Source organism: Homo sapiens, chromosome 21, assembly GCF_000001405.40.
Source record: "Homo sapiens chromosome 21, GRCh38.p14 Primary Assembly".
In the NCBI taxonomy this organism is placed as follows: Eukaryota; Metazoa; Chordata; class Mammalia; order Primates; family Hominidae; genus Homo; species Homo sapiens.
The window spans coordinates 16,513,780-16,536,849 of NC_000021.9; the positions used below are offsets into that span (position 1 = coordinate 16,513,780).

Consider the following 23,070-nt stretch of genomic DNA (forward strand, 5'->3'; position numbering starts at 1 on the left):
TATTCCGGTAAATGAGGCAGGGCATGCTAGTATGCTCATTTTTCTGTGCAGACTCCCTTCCACAGTAACTCCATAGATTTAAAACAAACTTTTGTCCTTTTTTTTTTTTCAACTTTTATTTTAGATCCAGGGGTAACATGTACAGGTTTGTTACCTGGCTGTATTGCATAATGCTGAGGTTTGGGGCCAAATGATCCCATCACTCAGGTACTGAGCCTCGTACCCAATAGCTAGTTTTACAGCCATTGACCTCCTCCCTTCCTCCCACCTTTAGAGTCCCAAGTGTCTATCATTGCCATCTTTATGTCCATGCGTACCGAATATTTAGCTCCCACTTATAAGTGAAAACATGTGATATTTGGTTTTCTATTTGGCAAAAAATTAACTTGGGACAGTGTCCTCCAGCTGCATCCATGTTGCTGCAAAGGATAGGATCTCATTGTTTTTTACGGCTGCATAGTAGTCCATGTACCACATTTTCTTTATGCAGTCCTCTGTTGTTGGGCCCGTAGGTAGATTCCATGTCTTTGCTATTGTGAATAGTGCTCTGATGAACATGCCAGTGCATGTGTCTTTTTCATAGAATGCTTTGTTTTCTTTTGGCTATATAGCCAGTAATGGGATCGCTGGGTAGAATGATAGTCCAGGTTCTTTGAGAAATTACCAGACTGCTTTCCACAGTGGCTGAACTCATTTACATTCCCATGACCAGTGTGTAAGTGTTCCCTTTTCCCGCAGTCTTAGCAGCATCTGTTGTTTCTTACTTTTAGACAATAGCCATTCTGACTGGCCTGAGACAGTACCTCATTGTGGTTTTAATTTGCATTTCTGTGATGATTAGTGATGTGGAACATTTTTTCATATATTTCTTGGCCACTTGTATGTCTTTCAAGATGTGTCTGTTCATGTTTTTTGCCTACTTTTTAATAGCTTTTTTAATTATTCAATTGTATAAGTTCCATATAGATCCTGGATATCAGGCCTTTGTTTGATGCATAATTTGTAAATGTTTTCTCCCATTCTGTAGGTTGTCTGTTTCCTCTGTTGATAGTTTCTTTTGCTGTGCAGAAGCTCTTTAGGTCCCACTTTGTCAATTTTTGTTTATGTTGTGATTGCTTCTGAGAACTTAGTCATAAATTTTTTTCCCAAGGCCAATGTCCAAATGGTGTCGCCTAGGTTTTCTTCTAGCATTCTTATAGTTTGAAGTCTTAACATTTACATTTTTATTTCATCTTGAGTTAAATTTTTGTATATGGTGAAAAGTAAAGGTCCAGTTTTATTCTGCTGCATATGGCTAGCCAGCATCAAGAATAGGAAGTCCTTTCTCCCTTGCTTACTTTTCAAATCAATTTTGTTGAATATCAGATAGGCTGTAGGTGTGCCACTTTATTTTTGGGGTCTTGATTCTGTTCCATTGATCTTTGTGTCTATTTTTCTACTAGGACCATGTTGTTTGGTTACTATAGCCTTATAGTATAAAGTCAGGTCATTGTGATGCCTCCAGATTTGTTCATTTTGCTTAGGATTGCTTTGCCTATTTAGGCTCTTTTATGGTTCCATGTGAATTTTAGAATAGTTTTTTCAAATCCTGTGAAAAATGACATTGGTAGTTTAATAGGAATATCTCTGAATCTGTAGATTGCTTTGGGCAGTCTGGCCATTTTAACGATACTGATGCTTTCAATCCATGAGCCTGGAGTGTTTTTCCATTTCTTTGTCTTTTAGTAGTGTTTTGTAGTTCTCCTTGTAGAGATCTTTCACACTCTGGGTTAGATGTATTCGGAAATATTTTATTTTTTGTGTGACTATTGTAAATGGGATTGCATTTTTAATTTGGCTCTCAGCTTGAGCTTTATTGATGTATAGAAATTCTACTGGTTTTTATACATTTATTTTTTATCTTGAAACTCTATTTAAGTTATTTATCAGTTCCAGGAGTCTTTTGGTGGCCTCTATGGTTTTCTACTAGTTATAATGGAAATAACTATGATTATTAAAATAATCACTACTATAATAATTATGATTCTAATAAAGAATCATATCATATATGAAGAGAGATAGCTTGACTTATTTTCCTATTTGGCTGCCTTTTATTTCTTTCTCTTGTTTGATTGCTTTGGCTAGCACTTCCAGTTGTATGTTGAATAGGAGTGGTGAGAGCGGGCATCATTGTTTTGTTCTACTTCTCAAAGGGAATGCTTCCAGTTTTTGCCCATTCAGTATGATGTTGGTTGTGAGTTTGTCATAGGTAGCTTCTATTATTTTGAGGTATGTTCTTTCAGTGTCTAGCTTCTTGAGGGTTTTTATCATGAAAGGATTTTGGATTTTATCAAAAGCTTTGAAGAAGCATTTTGTTGAATTAAGTTGATACTTATTTTTTACTTATTACTAACAAGCATAAATACCTGAAACTGTAGAATAAAACACTTCTACAATATATCACTTCTATTGAAAAAAGGAATTTCAGTAATAATTTGGACAAATGATAGTGAAGGGAGTAGGAGGGGATATTTCTAAAAAAAATTCTGATACATCACAACAAGACTTTATAAGTGTAAAATTAGATGCTGCTTATTATGTACATGGAGAAAGGCATTTTGTAGTGTAGTCTGAGCAATAACCTTTTGAAATGAAACATATTAATCATGCTTGCTCAACATATGTAAGAAATCTTTGTAAACACATATGCACGTGTTATCATTTCAGAAGCTCAGGCTAAATAGTTAAATAGATCCATTCTCCACATCCTAGATAAATTTCTGGGTAAATAAACTATCATCTAGATTTATCTAGTTACATTTTTAGATAAATTTATCTGGATACATTTTTAGATAAATTTATCTAGATACATTTTTAGATAAATTTATCTGGATACATTTTTAGGTAAATTTATCTAGATACATTTTTAGGTAAATTTATCTAGATAAGTTTCTGGATAAACTATCATCTTTATCAAATTCACATATCTGTAGTTAAACACTATGATCACAGATCCATTGTCTGTAAAGTAAATAATGCAAATGAAATTCAGAAGTCAATTCTGACCCCAGCTCTACTATAGACAAAGTTGTTTCCAAAAACAAGTTTGATTTCAAGTTGTTGGATTGAAAAAAACAAAAAACAAAAAAGTATATACTCTGCATATCTAGATATTACTTTTAGCTTTGCTAATCTAGTTCTCTTTTCTATCTTAAAATAACAAATAGAAAGATAGTCTTCTTTTTAAATTGAAAACATAATATAAAAAGTTGTAATTGTTTAACTGTATACATACACACATATATACATATAGACATGCACAAATACATTTATGTACACACATTCTTCCCTTTTCATATCACTTTCCATTTTTATTTTTCTTTAAAAGCATTTTTTGAGACATGGCTATCACTGTATCACCCAGTCTTTAATCAAACTCATGGGTTCAAGTGATCCTCCCACCTCAGCCTCCCAAGTAGCTGGAACTGCAAGGATGTACCACTATGCCTGGCTCCATTTTCAAGTAATAAGGAAACACAGATTTGACCAAGTAGTGCTGGGATTTGTTCATTAGAAATCCATTTCAAAAATATTTTGAAAACATGGTCAAGACACATAATGCACCTGATAGCGTACTTGAATTATTCTATCAAAAATATGCAAATAATAAATTTATTGATGTATATACATTACACCTAGCTTTGTGTTTTCTCCTTTCTATCTTCTGCCCAAAGTGGGATATGTTACTGCCTATGAGCCACCATAGAGCAAACACTAGAGTGACTGCTTACTTTTTTTGTAGCCTTCTAGATATTACATCATTGGAATGTCAGACAAAGCCTTGAAATTCATACTCCATCAAGTATGTGATTTTTGTAATACTTTAGGAACAGAATAAATTTTAAAATATTTCACAGGATTGTGAAATTTTTACCCACCAGTGTCTAGGTGTACATGAAACTCTTCAGATTTTGTTTTCACCCCTTCTCACCCAACCTCCTTTTTACAACTGCTCTCAGTTATGACCAGCACTTTACACTTTTAAAAGTACACATGACTTAACTGTCATAAGCCATCAGAGGAAAAACATTTGGCCTTATGTTAAAGAACTTTTTCACATGTTTTATCATTTCTACAAGATTTTAAGCTTTTTGAAGACATGGAACTATTTCTCGTGTAGCACTTTACACATATGCAGTACTCATTTTTTATTAAATATTAAAGGAGTGAAAGCCATCTTCACACTATTCTATGATTGGATTATCTGTATGTTTTTTCTGGGCCACTGAAGATTAAGTTGAATAAACGAGGAGCTGGCACAAACCCTGACAGATAGTAGAAAGTTGACATCCTAACAGAGACAAAGAAAGAAGTATAAATGAAGATAATGAAACTCAAAATATAAATAAAAAATAAATATAACATAATATAATAAAGAATATAAAATATAAAGACGATGTAGATTAGGGGTAAATAAATTCTATTTTTTAAAAACTGTATGGACCTTCTACTTTGGGCAGTAGGCTACATAGACATTGAATATTACAGCAATTTAAAGGATCATATTCTTTTTTGTGAAAGACTATCTTGTTCCATTAAGGAGATGGGACACTCTGTTCAATCAAAGTGCAAAATCAAAGCCTATAATCATGACACCTAGAAAACTAAATTTACCTAGAAAGCTAAAATTATGATAATGTTTTCTGTTTTGTAACTCCAAATATGCAATAGTTTCTAAATATATATAATATATATATTTAGATACATATATTTAGATAAAATAATATATAATATATTTAAAAACATATTTTTTATTTTAAAAATTATTTTAAATAGTCTTTGGTTAAGTTAATTTCTAGGTATTTCTTTGGTTAGTTTCTACATACTGAATTTTATGTGTGGCTTTTGTAAATGGAATTTTTTAAATTTCATTTTCAGGTTGTTTACTGTTCGCGTATAGAAATGCTACTGGTTTTTGTGTATTGATTTTGTATCCTGCGATTTTACTGAATCAGTTTATGTACAAATCACATACATTCTTTTTTTTCTTTTTAGTTACACAGGTATTTTGTAAAATGAAGTTATTCTTCACAAACATAATATGAATGAAATTATCCTTGCATTACTCTAAAAATGAATGTTATAGATAAACAAAAATCAATGTTTTCACCCATATTAGTATGGTAATCTAGAAAAGTTTGTATGCAGAACATGGACAGTAAACTCCTTCTATAGTCCATGAGATGATTGCAAGTATAAATCTTACGAGATTTCCATTTGGTTCTCCTGGAGATAAGGGATGCTTAAAAACTGACGTATTCAGTCCAGTGGCCATTAATATGGGGATAATCTGGAATATTCCATTGTGGATCTGGAACAAATTTAACACAATTCACTACAGACGGCAGTGTATGAATAATCCATGTGTTTTGCTAATTCTGCCTGCTCTTGGTTCAGTGACATGCTTTTTAAGGAGAATCTGTCATTACACATGCAGAAGACATTCAGGCCTGGGGGATATCACTACTCCAGCATAACCTCAAGTTAGTGGGGAGATTAAAGTCTGAAGTCAAAATTATTTCATCTGAAGTCAAAATTGTTATAAAATTGAAAACACATACTTGAGGGTAAAGTGAGGTCATAGAGTGACTTTTCAAAAGCAGAATATACTCTCTATAACTGAGAAAAGACAGAGGAAGAGTGCCTGGTGGGCTGTGGTAAACAGAAAACCGAGGTGCAGCTCCTTTTGTGCACTCAGACACCATACTGGGTTGTTCACTGGATTCACTCTACCTTTCTAGGATGGCATTAATTAATTATTATTCATTTTTCATTCTTCAAAACACCCACATTTGCACCTAGATATTGCTTGAGCATATTCATTTGACTGTGGAGAAACATACTTATCAAATAATCCAGTTGCAATAAGGGAATAATGAACAGGTATTTTCAGTTCTGGGGGTCATGCCCTACCCAGCAGTACTCCCAATTAATGGTTCAAATATGGGATTGGCTCTTCACTGGGCAGCTCTGGCTCAAGCTTCACTTCTTTCCAAAGGCTTTTCCACTTACTTGAGGTGATGCAATTGATGATGTCATATGTACATTTGATATTGAATCAAGAAAGCCCTGATGATGCCTCCCATTAAATAGAAAGAAATGTCTTGAATATTTATGATTTTGTTATTTAAGTCTGAATAAAACCTTTCATTTGCTAAATGGTTGTTCTTATAGCCCATCCTTTCCTTTAAATCTGAAATTAGTTAATACATAAAATATAACTCCTAAGTGGTCAAGAAAGATGCCAGACTTCCTAGACTGCTATACTTAACATGCAAACCTCACTTGGCATGTAAACCAGAAAATGAAATATTGTGAATGGTTACCGTAAATGTCTTCTTAAACGAAGTCCAATTAATAAAACAACTAATAGTTTTACTGGTCTGCAACATCTTTGACTACCCAAATTTATTCATTTTAAACTTGACGTGATTTATCATTTTTAACTCAATACAGCACTAGGACCTCTTTAAAATTTCATAGAAAGAAAGGATTTATGACATATATTTAAAATTTATTGGCTAATTTTTTTTAAAAATTTCAAATCAATTTATTTCAGGCCATTGTAATCTGGTTTATATGGTCCCAGAGGGATGACTGTGGAAACCCAAATTCTTAGACCAGTCAAAACCCCACTGAATCTGCCAGACAAAGATTGAATGAAGACCTGAAGGCCAAATCTCTAGATCTGAGAAGACAAAATATCTAAAAGCAGCAGAAGAGGCATTATACAAAATTACTTAGAAAAAGCCCTTATATTAAAAATTACATATTATTCAGTTTCTCTGTTTTGGAAAATTAAAAATTAAATGTACAATTTTTATATTTATTACAAAAGTAAGGGTTAAAACCCTAAACCACTTAAAACACCAGTTTTACCACACACTTAAACACAGAACTCTTCCCCAATGCGTGATGGGTAGCATTATACTAGCAAAGATAACCGTACTTTATGAACTTCATACTTGTGTAAGTTGATTAGGGAAACTATTTTTAGAGTTATCAATCGAATCAATTCACATAAATTGCTTGGCACAATATCTGTACTTTAGAGGTGCTTAAAACTATTATTATTTTTCTATTTGTGTGTGTGTGTGTGTGTGTGTGTGTGTGTGTGTGTGTGTTTTTTGAGATGGAGTCTTGCTCTGTCGCCCAGGCTGAAGTGCAGTGGCATGATCTCCGCTCACTGCAAGCTCCGCCTCCTGGGTTCACGCCATTCTCCTGCCTCAGCCTCCCAGGTAGCTGGGACTACAGGTGCCCGCCACCACGCCCAGCTAATTTTTTGTATTTTTAGTAGAGACGGGGTTTCACCGTGTTAGCCAGGATGGTCTCGATCTCCTGACCTCGTGATCCGCCTGTCTCGGCCTCCCAAGGTGCTGGGATTACAGGTGTGAGCCACCACGCCTGGCCCTATTTGTGTTTATTAACTAAAATGTTTTAACTATAACTTTTAAGTGTGTTAATACATATTGACTCATGTCAGTAATGATAAAACCTCATTTCACTTTTTGGTTGGTGTTTTAAGAACTTATGTTTATTTAAAATTCATCATTCCACTATGCAGCCATCAAAAGGAATGAGATCATGTCCTTTGCAGGGGCATGGATGAAGCCATTATCCTCAGCATATATACATTATTACCTCAAAATATACATTATTACCTACTATCATTACCTGCATTTAGGCCTTGCTTTTAAATTTCTCTTTGTGATCGACATGGTTTTCTTTCTTTCTGACAAATTAATTTCAATATCCTTATTATTGTCATCAACTACTTTACCCTCCTGCTTTGCATGCCATCTCTGCCCCTCCATCCATCCCTGTCAAGTGCCACCTACAACCACAGCACACCATACCACAGTGTTTCTTATAGGCTTTTTTATTTTTTTCTGTTGCCTAGGCTGGAGTGCAGTGGCACCGTCTCAGGTCACTTCAACCTCCGCCTCCTGGGCTCAAGCGAGTCTCCCGCCTCAGCCTCCTGAGTACCTGGAATTGCAGGTGCCCATCACCATGCTCAGCTAATTTTTGTATTTTTAGTAGAGACGAGGTTTCACCATGTAGGCCAGGCTGGTCTCGAACTCCCAACCTCAAGTGATCTACCTGCCTCAGCCTCCCAAAGTACTGGGATTACAGGTGTGAGCCACTATGCCCTGCTTCTTATAGCCTTTTTTATTAATCTATTTTTTCCCAACTTCTTGGTCTAAATAAATCTGAATTTTTCAACTAGTTTGCCTCATGCAATTTTCTCCTCTATTGATTCTCAAGGCATGAATCATCAAAGCGGTCTTGTCAAAAGGAAACATTATTTTTTTACTAAAATTATGAAGAAATTGAAGCAAATGTGATTTCAAAGACCTAACTTTATCCAATTTTCTACTTTTTTCCAAGCTCTACATTTTCACAGTAAAACTTCTGTTTTATCTTTTAACAACATGATAAAGAAAAACACAGATGGAAGAACATTGAGGGGGAATTCCTAAATGGGAGCAGTTAGCAGCTATGAAAATGTAGATATTCAAGAAGAAAAGAAAAAGTAAGCAAAACTGAATCATGAGACCATAGAAGAGTCAAAAAAATGTCAATTTATCTCAGCTTTCTGCAAACTACAACCCATGGGCCAAATTCAAGGTCTGTTTTTGTACAATCTACACATTAAGAATGGTTTTTACAATGATACGTGTTAGAAAAATGTTTAGAAAGTCATATTTTATGATGTGAAAATTGATAAAATGTTGTTGTCCATAAATAAAGTTTTATTGGAACACCATCACACTTTCATTTATGTATTTTCTATGACTGTTTTTATGCTGTAACAGCAGAATTAAGCAGTTGCGACAGAGATCATATGACATGCAGCATGTAAAACATGTATTATCTAGCCCTTCATAGAGAAGTTTGCTGTCTCCAGATTTAGAACATTCCCCTAAGTTAATTTTCCCAGCTGATTACATCACTGTTTATTGAGTATCAGCTCTGGAATTTCAAGTTCAAATAAACCAAGGAGTACCTTCAGATTTTTTCATTAGAGTTTTTCTTTACAGTAACACAAGGTGGGAGCAAATAACCAGTAAGAGCAGTTACCTTCGTGTATCTGTCATTTTACAAAAAATTAACTGTTCATTTTGGGATAACTGTAGACTTATGCAGTTGTAAGAAATAAAACAGAGTTAGGTTAATCTTTATCCAGTTTCTCCAGTGCTAAAATCTTGAAAACTGTAGTACAATTGGAAAACAACGAAACAGTTGTACAAAACAGTACAACTGAAAACAATATTATAGCCCAGATGTTAACATTGATATAGACAAGATACAGAATGTTTCCATTACTATTAGAATCCCTTGTGTTGCCCTTCTATAGATACACCTGCTTCTCTCTCAATCCCATCTCTGCCTTCACTCCTTAGCAACTTACCTGTTTTCCATTTCTATAATTTTAACATTTCAGGAGTATGAAAATGTAATCACAGAATGTGATCTTTGGGGATTGGCCTTTTTCACTCAGCATAATTCTCTTGAAATCAACCACATTGCTGAGTTTATCAATAGTTTGCTTCTTATTGAGTAGTATTCCAGGGTATGAATATACTACATTTTAACCACTCATCAGCTGAAATACATCAAGGTGGTTTCCAGTTTGGGGCTATTGTGAATAAAGCTTCATGTATAGATTTTTCATGTAAATAGAAATTTTTATTTTGGGGGAATACATTCCCATGAGTCAAATTGCTGGACCATATGTTAAGTGTTTGTTTCATTTTTAAAATAATTTGGCAAACAATCCCCAGAGTGGCTGTATCATTTTACGCTTTTGTTAGTAATATATGAATGATCCAATATACTCACCTACATTTGGTGTTGCCACTACTGTTTTGTTTGTTTATGTTAGACCTTCTAACAGGTATGTGGTGATATCTCATTGTGGTTTTAATTTGCATTTCCCTAATGTGCTTGTTTGTCATCCATATAGCCTCTTGGGTAGAATGTGTCTTATATGTTTTGCCCATTTGCCATTTAGACTGTTTGATTTTTTGACTGTTGAGTTGTGAGAAGTCTTTATGTTTTCTAGATACTGGTCCTTTTTCAGATAGATGGTTTGAAAAGATATTCTTCCAATCTGTGGCTTGTCTTTTCATTCTCTTAATGGAATTGTTGGGTAGGAAGTGTAATTTCTCCTCGACGCTCATAAATTCATAGTTCAAACAGACTTCAGTAGCAAAAGACAAACAAGAGAAAAACAATCAAGTTTATTAATATGCACAGTGCCTATCACTCGGGAGAAACTTCAATGAAAGGTAACACAAGGGAGTGGCTTAGAAATCTGGTTTATATAGAATCTTCGACAAACAACAATGTATTTTAGAGAAATGACATGACAAAGAAAAGCAGTTTTAGGCTTCCAGAGGCAGGAAGCTGTGGGAAGTTAAATATATAGAAAAAAACTAATGGAGTAAGATTTGTTTGTAGATTCCTCTGGTGCCATCTCTCAGCTGATAAGAGTTGTTTCCAGAAAGGATTTATACCTTCTCCTTACATGGAAAAGGGTGAGGATAGACAGAGCTCTTCCTTTGTTGGCTGTTTCGTGATTGCCTTTAGCTCAACAATATTTGTGTCACAGAGGCACATTTTGGGGTGACATCTCTGGTTTCCTTCAGAGTATTTTATGGAGCAAAAGTGTTTAATTTTGATGAATCAACTTACCAATTTTTCTTTATGTATAGTGATTTTGTTATGAATTCCAGTAACTCTTTGCCTAGTTCCAGGTCCTAAAGATCTTGTTTTGTTATTTTCTAAAAGTTTTATAGTTCAATGTTTTACATTTAGGCCTGTGATCCATTTTGAGTTAATTTGTATGTAAGATGTGTTATGTAGATCAAAATTCTCCCTCTCTTCCCCTTCACTCCCCTCCTCTCTTTATTTGTCTCTCTCTCTTCCTCTCTCTCTCTCTGTCTCTCCTGTGGCTGTCCAATTGCTGTGACACCATTTGCTGAAATGACTATCTTTTTTCTATTGAATTGGTTTTGGGTCAGTCATGGCTGTAATCCCAGTACTTTGGGAGGCCGAGGCGGGTGGATCATTTGAGGCCAGGAGTTCGAGACCAGCCAGGCCAACATGGCAAAACCCCGTCTCTACTAAAAATACAAAAAGTTAGCCAGGCATGGTGGCACACGCCTGTAATCTCAGCTACTCGGGAGGCTGAGGCAGGAGAATAGCTTGAACTTGGGAAGTGGAGGTTGCAGTGAACCAAGATCGTGCCATTGCACTCCAGCCTGGGTGACAGAGCAAGACTCCGTATCAAAAAAAAAAAAAATGGTTTTGTATCTTTGTCAAAAATCAGTTGTTTCTTGGGCATGTATATACGAGCCTCGTTCTAGGTTCCCTGTTCTATTCCGTTGATTGGTGTGTCTGTCTCTCTGCCAATACTGCCACACAGTCTTGATTAGAGTCACACAGTAACCTACTACTATTTTTATTATTACTAATTTATTTTACATATATTATTAGGTCTAATGTTAGTATATTATACTAGTTAAAAATCAGTCTTTACATCAAATAGACTAATTCCTGCTGCTATATATTTTTTCCCAAAATTGTTTCAGTTATTCTAGTTCCATTACATTTCCAAATACATTTGGAATACTTTTATCTATATCTATAATAAATCTTGCTGGGGTTTTGGTCAGAATTGAATTAAACGTGTATATCAATTTGGAGAGAACTAACATCTTTGTTGAGACTTGCAATCCATGAACATAACAATATCTCTCTCCAGATCTCTTAGGTTTCTTATCAGCATTTTGCAGTTTTCATCACACAAGTCCTGTACATGTTCTTTTATCTACACCTAACCAGTTCATTTTTTTAGCAATTCTAGATAATATTGTGTTTTTATCTTCTTGGCTTATTGCTGATCTTAGGGAGAAAGCATTTAGTTTTTTACCATTAAGTATAATGTTAATTATAGGATTTTTTTTGTAAAAGATCTTTATCGAGTTGAGAAAGTTCACCTGTGTTCCTAGTGGTCTGAGAATTTTTAGTCATGAATGGGTGCTGAATTTTGTCAAGCGCTTTTTTTTAATTTTTGCTTTGATTGATATTATTATGTGATGTTTCTTTTTTAGCCTGTTGATGTGGTGAATTGTACTGATTGATATTTGAATATTAAACTGGCTTTGCATCCCTAGAATATACCTCACCAGGTCACTGTGTACTAGGTTGGTGCAAAAGTGCTTGCCATTTTGGACCATGAATTTTGAATCATTAAAACTAGGCTCAAACACATCTGTATTAATCAAAGTAAGAACCATTACAATCAACACAATTTTGCCAACAAGAAATAAGTTTGTTTACTCCTGTAGCATAAAAATCCGTGCTTTGAGATTCGAGGAACTTTTGGAAAGCACTTTCTGCATCCTGCTGGTTGTGGAAGCGTTTTCCCTGCAAAAAGTTGTCAAGATGCTTGAAGAAGTGGTAGTCGGTTGGTGAGAGGTCAGGTGAATATGGTGGATAAGGCAAAACTTCATAGCCCAATTAGTTCAACTTTTGAAGCGTTGGTTGTGCAACATGCAGTCAGGCATTATTGTGGAGAATAACTCGGCCCTTTCTGTTGACTAATGCCAGCTGCAGGGATTACAGTTTTCAGTGCATCCTATCGATTTGCTGAGCAAACTTCTCAGCTATAATGGTTTCACCAGGAATCAGAAAGCTGTAGTGGATCAGACCGGCAGCAGACCACCAAACAGTGACCATGACCTATTTTGGGTGCAAGTTTGGCTTGGGGAATTGCTTTGGAGCTTCTTCTCAGTCCAACCCTGAGCTGGTCATCACAGGTTGTTGTATAAAATCCACTTTTCGTCACACGTCACAATCTGATCAAGAAATGGCTCATTGATGTTGTGTAAAATAAGTGAAGATGACACTCCAAAACGACGATTTCTTTGATTTTCACTCAGCTCATGAGACACCCACTTATCGAGATTTTCACCTTTCCAATTTGCTTCAAATGCCAAAAGACCATAGAATGGTCGACGTCGAGTTCTTTGGCAACTTCTCATATAGTTGTAAGAGGATCAGCTTCTCAATTGGTCATTGTTAACTCCCAATGGCCAGCCAATATGCTCCTCATCTTCAAGGCTCTTGTCTCCTGTGCAAAACTTCTTGAACATGACTGTACTGTAGGCTTATTAGCAGTTCCTGGGCCAAATGTATTGTTGTCGTTGATGTATTACCCATTTTGAACTCAAATAAGAAAATTGCTTGAATTTGCTTGTTGATTAATGTTATTTCCATAGTCTAAAATAAATGTAAAATAAACAGCAAGTAATAAGTCATTAGTAAAAAACATAAAGTGAGAAATGCCCATTAAAATGATGTATAACATAACCACATTTATTTAAGAATGTATTTCTTTTTTTTTTTTTTCTTTTTTTTTGAGACAGAGTCTTGCTCTGTCGCCCAGGGTGGAGTGCGGTGGCGCGATCTCGGCTCACTGCAAACTCCGCCTCCTAGGTTCACGCCATTCTCCTGCCTCAGCCTCCCAAGTAGCTGGGACTACAGGTGCCCACCACCACGCCCAGCTAATTTTTTGTATTTTTTTTTTTTTAGTAGAGACGGGGTTTCACCATGTTGGCCAGGATGGTCTCGATCTCCAGACCTCGTGATCTGCCCACCTCGGCCAGCCAAAGTACTGGGATTACAGGCGTGAGCCACCAAGCCCGGCCAAGAATGTATTTCAATACAAATGGCAAATTCCAACCATGTACTCACCTAATATAATTCTTTTTTATATATTGATGAATTTTATTTGCTAATATTTTGTTAAGAAATTTTGTGTCCATATAGATTCCTCCTCTTACACTGTCTTGTCTGATTTAAGTATCGCAATAATGTCAACTTCATAAAATAAATTGTGAAACGTTCCCTCTTCCCTATTTTCTCAAAAAGTTTATGTAGAATTGGTGATAAAACTTTCAATAATGGCCAGATGCAGTGGCTCATGCCTGTAATCCCAGCACTTTGGGATGCCGAGGCAGGTGGATCACCTGAAGTCAGGAGTTCGAGACCAGCCTCGCCCACATAGTGAAACCCCATCGATACTAAAAATACAAAAATTAGCTGGGTGTGGTGGCGGGCGCCTATAATCCCAGCTACTAGGCAGGTTGAGGCAGAAGTATTGCTTGAACCTAGGAGGCAGAGTTTGCAGTGAGCCAAGATTGCACCATTGCACTCCAGCCTGGGCAACAAGAGCGAAACTCCATCTCAAAAAAAAAAAAAAAAAAAAAAAACCTTTCAATATTTGTTACAATTATCCAGCTAAATTATCTAGGCCTGGAGATTTCTTTTTGAGAGAGTTGTTAAATTACATATTCAATCTCTTTCTTTCTTTCTTTTTTTAAAATAGAGACAGGGTCTTGCTTTGTCACCCAGGCTGGAGTGTAGTGGCATGGTCATAGCCCACTGCAGCCTCAAACTCTGGGGCCAAAGCCATCCTCCCACCTCAGCCTCCTAATTAGGTAGGATTACAGGTGTGCATCACCACAACTAGCTAATTTTTAAATTTTTTCGTAGAGATGGTGTCTCACTATGTTGCCCAGCCTGGTCTCAAACTCCTGGCCTCAAGTGATCCTCCTGCCTTAGCCTCCCAAAGCACTGGGATCACAGACATGAGCCACCATGCCTGGCCTTCAGTTTTCTTAATAGTTATAGGACTCATTTCATTATAGGGATCAGTCAAGTGATCTAATTCATGTTGAGTGAGTTGTGGTAATATGTGTTTTTAAATAATTGGTTCATTTCATCTAAGATATTCAATTTATGTGTTTAGTGTAGTTTGCAGTGTTCCCTTATTATGTTTTGCTGTGTGATATGCCCTGTTTCATTTCTGATATTGATAATTTGTATATTCTTATTTCTCAGTCTTGCTGAGGGGATGCCGATTTTATTAATCTTTTCAAATACGCATGTTGTTCATCGATTTCTCCCTGTTGTGCTGTTTTCATTTTTGCGTACTTGTGCTCTTATTTTCTTTCTCTTCTGCTTTAGGCTGATTTTGCTCTTCTTACTCTTGTTTTTTGATATTAGACCTTTGATTATAGATTTGAGACTTTTCCTCTTTTCTAGTTTATACATTTATTGCTATTACTTTTGCTGTGAGCACTGCTGTAGCTGTGTCCCACAAATTTTGATATGTGGTATTTTCATTTTCATTCACTCCAATTTCTTTTTCTTTCACTTGAGACTTCCTCTTTGACTCATTAATTATTTAGGAGTGTGTTAATTAGTTTCCAAGTGTTTGGAGATTTTCCTGTTATCTTTCTGTTATTGATTGCTATTTTGATCATATTGTGGTCTGAAAACACTTTCTGTATGATTTCAGTTATTTTTAATTTGTTGAGATGTGCTTTACGTGCTATATAATGTGACCTATCTTGGAATATGTTTGTTTGTGGGCACTTGAAAATAATGTGTATACTTCTGTGGTTGGGTGGTATGGTTAATAAATGTCAACTAGATTCTGTTGATGAATGATTTGTTGGATTCTATATCCTTGATAATTATCTGTTTAATTGTTCTGCCCATTATTGGGAGATGTGTGTCAAAGTATACAACTATAAATGTGAACTTGTCGGCCGGGAGCGGTGGCTCACCCCTGTAATCCCAGCACTTTGGGAGGCCAAGGCGGGGGGATCACGAGGTCAGGAGTTGGAGACCAGCCTGACCAACATGGTGAAACCCCGTCTCTACTAAAAATACAAAAATTAGCCAGGTGTAGTGGCATGCACCTGTAATCCCAGCTACTCAGGAGGCTGAGGCAGGAGTATTGCTTGAACCTGGGAGGCAGAGGTTGCAGTGAGCCGAGATTGCACCACTGCGCTCCAGCCTGGGTGACAGTGAGACTCCATCTCAAAAATAAAAATAAAAATAAAAATAAAAAAATAAAAATAAATGAAGGTGAACTTGTCTGTTTCTCTTTTCTGTTTCATACTCTACATATTGAGCAGCTTTGTTTTGGTGCATACACATTCAGGGATGCTATGTCTTCTTGCTGGATTGTTTCTTTTATCATTGTGTGATGTCTACCTGTGTCTCTGGTAATTTTCTGTCCTTGGAAGTCTATTTTATTTGATATTATTAAAGACACTTCTGTTTTCTAATGTTTGACTAATATGCTTACTTTAATCATTTTACTTTCAACCTGTTTATATTGTTATATTTAAATTTTCATTGTAGACAGCATATAATTGGGCCATGGTTTTTAAATCCACTGTGCAAATCTCTGCCATTTCATTGGTATATTCAAACAATTCACATTTACTTCAATAATTTATTTATATGATTTAAGCCTGCCATTTGAATAGTTCTTTTTTGTTTGTTCTTTCTGTTTTTTATTTCTCTGAGTTTTTTCTCCTGCCTTTTTGTGGTTTACTTAAACAAATTTTAACATTTTTAGAATTTTGACATATCTAGAATTTTTTTTTACTAAATTTCGTTATGTAATTTTTTAGTGGCTGCTTTATGTATTATGTTACATATACATAACTTATCACAGTCTACTAGTATCCTCATTTTACCATTTCAAGCAGTTAAAAAATCTTACCTACTTTTGTACCTTCACTCTTACCCATTTATAATATAATTAATTGTCTTAGATATTTCCTCCACATGCGTTTAGCACTATACCAGACAGTGCTCTATTTATGTTTCCACAATCAAACATAATTTAGAAAACTCCAGAAAAGGAAAGTCTGTTCTATTTATCCATATTTGTATGTACTGAATTCTTTCTTCCTTTCTAAACTTCCAAGATTCCCTCTTTTGTCTTTTCCATTCTGTGTGGACAACTTCCTTAGCCATTCTGTCAGGTTAGGCCTGCTAGTTGAAAATTATTCTAGTTTTCTTTATCTAACAATGTTTTCCTTTCCCCTTCATTTCTAAAGGATATTTTCTATGGATATAAAACTCTAGGTTGATAGTTCTTTGCTTTCAGCAAGTGAAACGGTCATGTCCTTTCCTTTTGGCTCCCATGGTTTCTGATGGGAAACCCACTGTCTGAATCATTTTTCCTCTATAGATAAGACTGTGTTTTTTCCTGCTCTTTTCAGATTTTTTCTTTAAGTTTTTGTAAGTTTGACTATGATATGCTTTGGTATAAATTTCTTTGGTTTTATTCTGTTTGCGGTTTGCTCAGCTTCTTGAATCTGTGTCCTTTTTGCTATATTTTGGAAGTTTCCAGCCACTATAGCCACTATTTCTTTGAGGATATTTTAAGCATTGCCCTTTTTCTCCTCTCTTTCTGGGATTCTAGTGACACAGATACAAATGTTTTATTTTTTGTTATAGTTTCACAGTTGCCTAAGTCTCTGTTTTTAAGTATAGTTTATTTCTGTTGTTCAGATTAAGTTATTTCCATTATTCTTTCTTCCAGTTCACTGATTCTTTCTTCTGCCTTCTCCACTCTGCTGTCAAGTACATCCTCTTAGTTTTTGATAATTTCAATTATTTTATTTTTCTGTTCTAAAATTTTATCTGATTATTCTTTGTATCTTCTATTTCTTTGTCAAAACTTTTACCTTTTTCGTTTGTTTCCACTATGCTTATAATTGCCTCTTGGAGCATTTTCATGACAGCTGCTTTAAAATCTTTGTCAGATAATTCTAACATCTCTGTCATCTCAATGTTCACATGTATCAATAGCCTTGTAAAAATTCAGTTTGAGATCTTCTTTCTGTTTTGGGTGACAAATGATTTTCGGTTGAAACCTGGACATCTTAGGTATTAGGTATGAGGTTCTAATTCTTATTTAAACCTTCTGTTTTATCTGGCTTCTTCTTACACCACGCCGGCCGGGAAAAGGGAGCATGCCGCCTTGTTACTGCCAGATATGGATAGAAGTAGCTCCTGCTCTTCAATGAACCTCCGTTGGTTTCTGCTACCAAACTGACCTCCACTGATATCTTCCTGGCAAGAAAAAATGGAGTAGTTTGTTGCTGCTCTTATTGTGGTCTTCACCAGTGCTTTAGAAGTTGAGGGATAGCATGGTAGCCTCATTACAGCTGGACAGTTTCAAATGTTCTCAATCTCCACCAAACCTCCTCTCATACTACCTCAGTGGAGAGGGAGATGGATACCTCATTATTGTTGAGTTTGGGGTGGAAGTCTAGACTGCCCATTTAGTCAACATAGACACTGCATGTAGGGTAAGAGAAGAATCTTGCTAACCCCCGGCAGGGATGAAACTCCTAGATTCCTGCTCAGACTTCTTTTACACTACTCTGGGTGCTGGAAGGAGAGGGTGTTGGAATACCCTGGCAAGGATCAGCGTCTGGGCTTGCCACTTTGCCTTTGCAGGTGTACATGGGGATGGGACCATAATTCTTTTTGTGGTGTTCAACGAGAGCAAAATGATATTGCTTTCTGTCTTTCTAGGCTGCCCCTTTCTTGTTCCTTTGACTAGAGAGAACAGCCTTTCGTTGGAACTTGGTTTTTTTGTCTGAACCAGTTGGCATTTCTGGGTTGCAGGCTTCTTCAGCTCTGAGGTTTTGATGTATAAGGTAAAAATTTTAAATCCATGTCATTCCTTGAGTCCTTCAGTCTCTAGCTAGTTTTTCATCTTCTCTCAGCTTTTCAGAGTCTCTTTAAATTTCTTTGATATGTAATGTGGAGAGATTTTAGTTGTACCTAGAAGGGGAATTAGAAAAAACTACGTCTACTCCATCTTTCTACAAGTGAAAGTCTCCCATTACTTTGCTTCTTTTTAAAAATTGTTTTTAATTGGGAAGACAGCATACAATTTTCACATCAGATTCTTTCAGGAAGTTCAACAGAATTATACAAAACTAACCATGAATTTAGTATTAAAAAGGAAACCTTCAGACAGAGAAAACATCTCTAATTTATTTTTTAATATCCATTTTACTTCCACTTTGCAATTTCCATCGGTTTGTTTCTTGACAAGTTTGTCTCTTTTAGGACCTGCAACATCTCTGTTTAGTAGTGAGCTTTTCTCATTTAAAAGTACTTACTGAAAGACTCCCACATGGGAGTCACATCAGTTTCTTTCACTGATGTTCTCCTATGCCTATCAGAAGGCCTGGCACATACTAGGACTTAATAAATAATCTGCTGAATAAGTGAATGAGAACTGGAAATTTAAATTTTTATGTCAATGAATGTGTCATCTGCTTTCTTGTTTTGCTGAATCATGGGGCTTAAGTTTCTGCCAAGCACTCTTTAAATATGTGCTTAGGACACTAGCAGATTTGTCCAGAATTTTGCAATCTAGAAAAAAAGCAATTTTAATTTTAGCCCGTGTGTAAATTTTTAGTTTATGGTTTAGAATTGCATTATTTTGAATTACAAATGGGGAGGACGACATGATGGTTCTCACGTGTGTGTATGTGTGTGTACACATTCACTCCTATCGTTGCTAAAGAAAGTCACCTGAAGGACATGGCACAAAAACAACCACAAACCATTTTTAGTTATGTTTCCTAGATGCCTGAATCATTTTTCAGATTTTTTTCTATTAGACAAGTCACAGTTTGATTATCTTTGAAAGTCATTGTTATGTATTGTGCAGTGTATGTGTTTACACATGGAAAAGGGGCAACATTAATCCATCATTTGGGGAAGACACTGAATATAATGTTAAATTTTTTGCAAACAATCATACTTTAGATAAAGATTCTCCAATTATTGCAACATTTTTAAAAAATAAAGTTAAAGGACATGGTTCTTTTTAGTGCCGCTCAGTATGTTTGGTTTCTGTACTAATAATGCTTGCTTTCCTGTTTGGCTTTAAATTCTGCTTAAGGAAATTGTGAAAAATTTAATTCACTCTACTTTTGTTAGAAAGTATAGAAATGTTCGTGCATGGGATTCATTGCCTGCTAGAATGGAAATTCATTGGGGAGGGGAACCATTTCATTTTACTACCTAAGAGCTGTTGACACAGTCCCTGCATCTTTCAAAGGCATCTTTCATGCCACGCGGGCAAACTGTAGCCAGCGAAGAAACAGAAAGAGCCCTTCTCACATATGTCAGTCTCAGAAAACTTGCATAGCAGCTGTGCTAGGTACCGATGAGGATTACTATAGACCCAGTTGCAGGGTTTTATGTGGATAAAGAGACAACTGGCTTTCTCAGGGGAGCACTTTGTTGGAGATTGCAGCAATAGTGCATCCCTGCTGTTGCTAGAAGACATTGTGACCATGTAGTACAAAATCAGTGCCAGATAAAATCAGAAAGTAACAAAAAGCAAGAAGAAAACTCGGAGTTTTTTTAAATCTTAAAGTGAGAGACGAAAACAAATGTTCTGGGCTTGTTTCATTCACTTGTAAGGAAAAGGAGACAGATGAAGGGATGCCTTTAACTCAGAAAACTTGAAGGGCTTTCAGTCTTTTCATTTGAGAACCATTTGGGTGTGTTGAGAAAAAAAGTTGCCAGAGTAGGCATGTTCAGACCTTTATTTGCTACATTTGGTAGGAAAGATTTTTTTTTTCCCCTCTTAACTACAAGAAGCCAGAGTTTTCTGTGCAAACGAAACAGGCGTTGCAAGAATCAGATTCACTTTGGACGACTCTTCACATTCCAAGTCATCATTGCGTTAGGCAGCACAATTCCATCTCTGGTTGATGGGCAGAAAAAGTGGGCAGCTTGCCAGGTAGACGTTTCCATGACTCCCAGCCCCCAAAGGTGATGCGTTTTTCAGCTAATTCAATGAAGAGTGGGCTGAACTTTGGGTCTAAACGAGACAATAGCTGCCTTCGCAGTATCAGCAGAATGGTTGATGGGAGTGCACTCTACATTTGGCAGAGAATCATGTGACCTTACGACTGAGATTTTGTGATGGTGCCAACGGAGACTTGGAAAGCAGCAACCGTCCTGACTTTTTTCTTCTTTTCTAACATGGCTCAGAAAATGGTGGATCTTAATACTTGACTTTAGCCAGACTCAGCAAGCGACTGAGCTTTGAAGCACAACTTCGCCTTTATTCTGGGTTTTTGGCAGGCCACCAGGAGGCTGTCCCTTTCACGCCTGATAAATTCTGCTGCTTATCTCTAAATAGAAAAAAAAAAAAAGGAAAATAATAATAGAATATTGAGGCATAACAAGTGAATTCTAAAATTGTATGTGCTTTTTGTTTTTTTTTTTTGTTTTTTTTGCCTTTTCTGACTGGTGATTTGTATTTTTGTTTTATTTATTTATTTATTTTTTAGGTTACTACCTTTCTGCTTGTAGAAGAATCCAAGTAGTTGGGTCTTTTTTTTTTTGGTTTATAATGAACAGGCATTTGAACTGGGCAAACAGGACGACAGCAGCAGTGAGCATGAGATCATTGCATTGCAGCACTGTAGCAAACTGGCACCCTGCCTTTGCACCCCTTTGGTTCAGGAGACAAACGTGTGTAATCCTCATTTCTAAAGTCAGCACAGCCTGGAAGGATTCCTGGTCTCTCCCACCTTCTACCATTCTGCTGCCAGTGACGGCAAGGATTGGTGTAGCTTCTGCGCAGTGCTTTGTGCCTGGAATACCGAGAAGGAAGAAAAAGAAGACAAGCACCCTGGTCCTTTTCTAAGAAATTACAGGCGCCCTTGAAGAAAAAATCTGAGTGTGTCCTACTACATGCAAGAGTGCTGGAAAAAAAAAAAAAAAAAAAAAAAAAAAGAGACGCTCCTGCTCAAAAACAAAAACAAAAGCAAACAAACAAAAATCCAAACCAAAACAAACCAAAAAAAGCAAACATTGGCTGTATAACTACAGAGACATCGGGCTTTGTAAATCAGCTTTTTAAGGCAACATAACCAAATGAGCCTTCTTTATTTTTATTATTTCAAACCATATGGCATAATTAGCAATATATTGCACTTGGTGAAATCGCACCTTTCATATCAGGTATAACTTTTTTTGTTGTTTTTCTTTTAAAGGCTACTGTTATATAAAAGGGAATCCTTGAACTTTTAATTTACTTTTATTTAACTCATTGCCCACTTTACTCTTATTAACTTTTTCCTTTTCCTCTCTTGCTCTAATCTTGATTAAAATAGAAACTTAAGGAAAGATAGAAAAATCTCTATGAAAAAGACAATACATGTTTTTATGTGGGGTATACACAGAAGTTTTGGAAAGATATTAATATATCTGTGCTTTTTGTGTCCAGTATTAGTTTTTGCTATCTAAGAAAAGTGAATGTTTAGACCTAGTGGGTAAAAAAAGTAAATCTTTCATGTGACTTATAATTTGAAATGTGAAAGAAGAAACTTTTTAAACTTGTAGAAAAGGGTTATATTAGAATATGCGTTGAATGACTGATAAATAAGATTGCTTTTGGGGAAGTTATATTCAAATTATTTACAAAGATTTCAGTAGAACAAAAATAGGAATGAGAAGAGCATGTTCTCAGTTGCTAGGTAGAAAAGAAGCTTCTTTCATAATAATATGCTCTTTTAAAATACATTTTAAAAGAAGTACTTGTCCTAGAGCAGTTGCAAAAAGCATTGGAAATATCAAGTGTATTAGAAAAAGTACATGCAAACTTGTTTTAAGTTCAGAGCAATGTATTGGCTCAGCAGATAACTGCATTGCATTATAATTATTTTGTCTGTTTGTAGAAGTAAATTGCTAAGCAATTTAAGCATTTTATTAAAAAAACAGTTTTGCCTGGTTCAGTGTGAAAGGATTAGCAGATGCATTCCAGCTATTTTAGTTTTGATAAAAAATGTTTCTAAACAAGTGTAAAAATAATTTTTAAAAGAGAATGCTTTTGAAAAATTCAGCAAGTATCAATGAAAACTATAATTTGCATACTAAGAATTGACGTTATAATATTTCGGTAAAAATATACTTTGGTAATCTGTTATGCTTTTAAAATCATATTTTCTTATATTACAAATATGTAGGGTAAACAATGAAAAATGTAGAACTGATTAATTCTGCCTTTGTGTTTGCTATTCTATGAACAATTACAGGAAATTGCAAAATCCCTATATACTGATAACATTCAAATAAAACGTTCTGTTGGTTATTGTTCACTAA

General features: G+C 35.6%; 1 long non-coding RNA gene across 14 annotated transcripts in view; it reads left to right on the top strand.

The window, feature by feature from the left end:
- The window catches only part of MIR99AHG (mir-99a-let-7c cluster host gene), a 561,240-nt gene that overhangs the window by 443,292 nt on the left and 94,878 nt on the right, over positions 1-23,070 (top strand). Inside the window, exon 1 of one of the 14 annotated variants that reach the window (NR_136547.1) lies at positions 21,793-21,930. The exons of the other annotated variants lie outside the window; for them this stretch is intronic. This is a non-coding gene — a long non-coding RNA (mir-99a-let-7c cluster host gene). Of the gene's footprint in view, positions 1-21,792; positions 21,931-23,070 lie in introns of those variants that run through there. 14 annotated transcript variants of the gene reach the window in all.